The 5,168-nt window shown below is 39.1% G+C and overlaps 1 annotated feature.

The window, feature by feature from the left end:
• Positions 2,352–3,470: an enhancer, noted in NCBI's record as "enh3". NCBI's record gives the evidence for it as "EXISTENCE:reporter gene assay evidence [ECO:0000049][PMID:21408189]".

The following is a 5,168-nucleotide window of genomic DNA, read 5'->3' as shown; positions in this document are numbered from 1 at the left end:
GCTGCACCCCAGCTTGGGTGACAGATGAGACCCTGTCTGAAACAAAACAAAACAAAACAAAACAAACAAAAACATAATTCTCCTTAAATTTCAATCTTTGCAAGGCTTCTCCTATTATAGGTTACTCTATTAATTATTTATTTTGAAATGCAATTAGTAGTTTGAAAAGATACATTAGCTTTAAGTAAATTGATCAATACTAGCTTTTTATAGACAGAGATAAAAATTATCTGAGCAAATAAGGGTTTTTTTGGTGTGTGAAAATGATATCCTTGTAAACTAGGCCTTTAGGGATCCCTTTGAAAAATAAGCTTGGTTTGACTATCACAGATGAACAGCTACCAGAAAACTGAACCAAAACAACCATGTTCGTGGAATCCAAATGGGCATATGTGGCCTGTGATATAACTTCCAACAACAACATCCTTCATCAATGCATAAAGGCCAGAGACAGAAATACTTAATAGAGGTGAAGATGGGCCAGGCGCAGTGGCTCACCCCTGTAATTCAGCACTTTGGGAGGCTGAGGTGGGCGGAGCACCTGAGGTCAGGAGTTCCAGACCAACCTGTCCAACCTGGCAAAACCCCGTCTTTACCAAAAATGCAAAAATTAGCTGGGCTTGGTGGCGGGTGCCTGTAGTCCCAGTTACTCGGGAGGCTGAGGCAGGAGAATTGCTTGAACCCAGGAGGTGGAGGTTGCAGTGAGCCAAGATGGCGCCACTGTACTCCAGCCGGGGCGACAGAGTGAGCCTCTGTCTCAACAAAAGAAAAAAAAAAAGAGATGAAGATTCGTACTATGCCAAAAAAGGTGATAAATGACTCAAAAGGTTTTTCCCTTTAAAAACTCCTCTCCTTGAAGGTTTTGAAAGAAAATGGTTTTCTGAGATATCAGTGGACAATGAATTATTTCAAATGTAATCTTAATATAATGTGCGATTATAAATATGTTACTAAAATATGTTAAAAGAAGCTGTCGTTGTCTTTAAAAGCTTATTTTTTACATGTAGGCAAACAATAGCTTTTTAGAAACAGTAATATGTTTTAGAAAATTCATGGTATTATATATTGCTGAAAGCAAGATCCTATGCTAGTTGTCATTGTGAAATGAACATTCGTCAGCTATCAGTGCTCATTTAGAGGAACTTCCCACATGGCAGGGAAAATCTGACATAGTTTTACAAATCTGTTACATATAATAGGAAGTTACAAAACCATTAGAGTTTGTTTTGCTTTGCTTTTGTCTGTTTGTTTGGTGGTTTGAGATTTGAGGTATAGTGAGGTGAGTAAGTAGCGGTGACTTGAAACATTTAGGAAATATTGACTGTCACAGATGTCCATTGAATTAGATGCAGGTTTAAATGCATAGTGTAGCCTTCCTAGATCCCCCAAATCAAGAAACAGTGACCTAGTCTCATTCCAGGGGATTCAAATTCTCCATATGTGCCTTAACTATTCTTGGATAATATAAAAAATATTTATACATCAAAGAAATGGGGATATCAAACTCCAAGCTAGGGAATAAAGTTGAAAGGCAGTTTTAAAGAGGATACAATACTTAGGCCAATGACAAAATCATTCTACATAACTGTGTGTTAGATAACTGATTCATATAATCTCCGTATATCTATTTCGTATTTTAGTATCCTAAAAATTGGTGAACAAGTAACAGATTACAGTCTATGCCTCTGTAAATAATCCCATGCCCTGTATCTGTGGAAAAGGCTACCTGGTCTGTCTGAACACTCTCAGTGACTTAGAAAATTTTGATTAATCAAGCTTCTACTTGTTTTGGTCCACTGTGGTGATAAACTTTTGTTACCCTTAAACTGAATTAAGTTGTATTTCTTTATGAATCCTGCTTGTTTATTTAAATACTTCCTTCTGAAGCATCACAGAATAACTGTCCATTTGCATAGTCATCATTTAATTATATTATCTAAGAAACCATTAGAAAAACGGGGAAACTGGGTTAGATTTTTCATGTTATTTCAACTCTAAACTTTTATAAAAGGTCATAAAAACTATCACTTGTGGCTCTAGGTGAGATAATTGGCACTAAAATAATTAAATCTTGCTTGGAAAACAACAGAGGCAATTAGCACTGTTAAGTAAGTTGTTTATAATATTTATTGCAGTAATGGTGGCCTTGCGCACACACACACACACACACACTCCAACAAACACATGAACTAGTACACAGTTCTAAGCCCAAGACTACACAGTGAGCAAAAAAGTTAGTTGTAGGCATTACTTGATGCCTAGCTTGAATTTTTTTCACTAACCAGCTAACTATTTGGAGTATCAGAGCACTGTCTAGAGTACTAATGGCTATATCAAGCTTCTTTGTTCTTCACCTATAGCTAACCTCAGCTAGAGTTTCATTTCTCTCTCTTGGCTGTGAACTCTCTAATGAATCAAAGCTAGAATGGATTTGCAATTTTCTTTTTTTTTTAAGCATTATCATTTTCGCTGGATGCTAAGAGATGTATTTTCTTTTCTTTCAAGCAAATAGATGACATCTGACCATTTTCTCCCTGTCGAAAAAGCATTCTGCCACAGCTGAGCCACGATCCCACAGTTGTTAAACAGCAGGGATTATCAGGCAGGACAGTATTAAGTGGTATTTAACAGCGAGACCAAAGTTCTCTGTCAAATGCCTGACTTAGGACTCCTTGATTTTTAGCATCCCGGCTCTGAGACCTTTTGCACGGAACCATTTTTCATTCTGACAACAAACTACTGTGGCTATCCAGGGTTGCTTTGCTGGAGCTGACAGCCAAGTATTTCTGTGGCAGAAATATTGCCACAGAGTAGAGAGATCAGGGATGGAAGGGAGACATTTTTATCCCCTTTCACTCCAAGTGCAATGACATTCCAAGCAGTAGGTGTCCCAAGTCAATGACTTGTTAATCTATTCAGTATGATCCCCTGTCTAGTCAAAACAATAGGGGGATGGGGGCAGGGGAGTGTGGACTATCGGCTTCACAATGCAATTGTCTAAAGTGCGTATTACTTTCTCCATCTCTTCTAGGCACATTCTCATTGACATAGGCAGGGGAGGGTGACCACTGAAACTGTCAATTTAAGTACCATTCTCTAAAAGGTTTTTTATTGGGGGGTAAGGGGGAGAGAGAGAGGTGTTTGACAGGTTCCTAAAGTTCAAGGGCAACCATTTTATGGCCCTAGTAAGACATCATTTATGGAACTTACGATATGATGGGTGCAAAGGCAGGAAATAAAAGAAAGAACCTAATGAAAGTTTAATCTTCTGGGGAATTTGTTCCCCTCAGAGGCATAAATTGAGTGACCTAAAACTAAATTTCCCTGTCACAGGCTGGCATGGAGTTCATGCACATTTTACAGCTATCCTAGAAAGGAATATATTTTTAAAAATAACTATTTCTATTCTTAAGTGATTGCCTGCAATTGCTGATGGAGCCTCAGGAGTGCTCACGGTAGATTTATTGGAGAGGTCATTGCTCCTCTGTACAGCATACATAATGGAGGAGTTATATAAGTGCAGTTCCCTGCACAGTTGTCTGGTCCTGATTGTAGCTGTACATATCTATATCTGATTGGCTGAGAAGCTTGAAAAAAATTGAGAACTGTCACATCAGGCTGCCCTATCTGGGATCTGGAATGCTAAATCCATATCTAACACTGGATGGTGGATGAGACATCATTCACAATCTCTATTACACATGAGGCATAATTCAGACGGGAGGTCATGTGACCAAGCTGGACTGAGATTTCCAGGTTTCTAGGAATGAAAAGGACGGGGAAGCAGAGAATATGACTAAGACATGAAGAAGAACCATGTTGGGTAAGAATATGCCATGGCCAGCATCTAATGTTCCCAACAAAGGCTGCACGTGATGGATGAAGCCTGTGTTCATGTGAGGAAGTCCTGGTTTGTTCAGTCTTTTTTTTTTTCTGAGACAGAGTCTTACTCTGTCACCCACGCTGGAGTGCAGTGGTGTGATCTTGGCTCACTGCAACCTCCGCCTCCCGGGTTCAAGCAATTCTCCTGCCTCAGCCTTCCGAGTAGCTGGGATTACAGGCGCCCACCACCACACCTGGCTAATTTTTGTATTTTTAGTAGAGGCAGAGTTTTACCATGTTGGCCAGGTTGGTCTCGAACTCCTGACCTTGTGATTTGCCCACTTCGGCCTCCCAAAGTGCTGGGATTACAGGCGTGAGTCACCGCGCCTGGCCTGTTCAGTCTTTATATAACGTTCTCCATTAAGCCCAGCACATCTGGTCCTTAATCAAAGATAACTTTGGGAAACCTCACACGTCATGAGCAGACCTCTTCACATTCATGAGATCACTTCGGTAATAATTTATGAGCAGAATGTCTTATACATATGCTTTGTGTTGGTTGACACAGTAAGCATTCTATCTGGGATATACAACATATCTGTAGGATGAACATTATATAATAGAAGCAAACACTCATCTCCGATGTATGTAATGGAAATTAAATAACATGCACATTTAATTGCCGAAAGACTAAGAGCTGCTTTCAAGGTCACACTAGTTGTGCTCAGATCAAGAATCAAATGGAAAGGGTGTTCTCTATTTAGGCTTTTTTTTTTTTTTTTCATGTGTTAGGGATTAGTTACATTGCACTGAAGGAAACACTAAAGAAAATATCTACCAGAATATTGTGAGTGCTTCTTAAAAAGTAGGCTTTATTCTTTAGAGCAGTTTTAGGTTCATAACAAAATTAAGCAGAAGGCACAGAGATTTCCCACCTACCCCCACCCCCAACACATGCACAGCCTCCCCCATTATCAAAATCCTCCACCAGATAGTACATCTGTTACAACTGATAAACCTACATTGACGCATCATTATCACTCAGTCCGTAGTTTACATTAGGGTTCATTCTTGATGATGTAGGTTCTATGGGTTTTGATAAATTTTTAAAGACGTATCCACATTATAGTACCATACAGAGTAGTTTCACCACCATAGAAATCTCTTGTGTTACTCATCCCTCCCTTTAAAAAGCTCAATTTAGGATCTAGGATGATGGTAATAAAACACAAGCGAAAAAGTATTTGTGATATTAGCTTAATGATTGGTGACTATAAAAAGATCTGATTTAGGTTTTAAACTCATCCCATGAACAATTTATCACTAGAAGGAAGAGTGCAGACCCT

Source organism: Homo sapiens, chromosome 17 (genome assembly GCF_000001405.40).
Source record: "Homo sapiens chromosome 17, GRCh38.p14 Primary Assembly".
Taxonomy (NCBI): domain Eukaryota; kingdom Metazoa; phylum Chordata; class Mammalia; order Primates; family Hominidae; genus Homo; species Homo sapiens.
The sequence above is the reverse complement of the archived record's forward strand: the minus strand, read 5'-3'. Positions and strand labels throughout refer to the sequence as shown.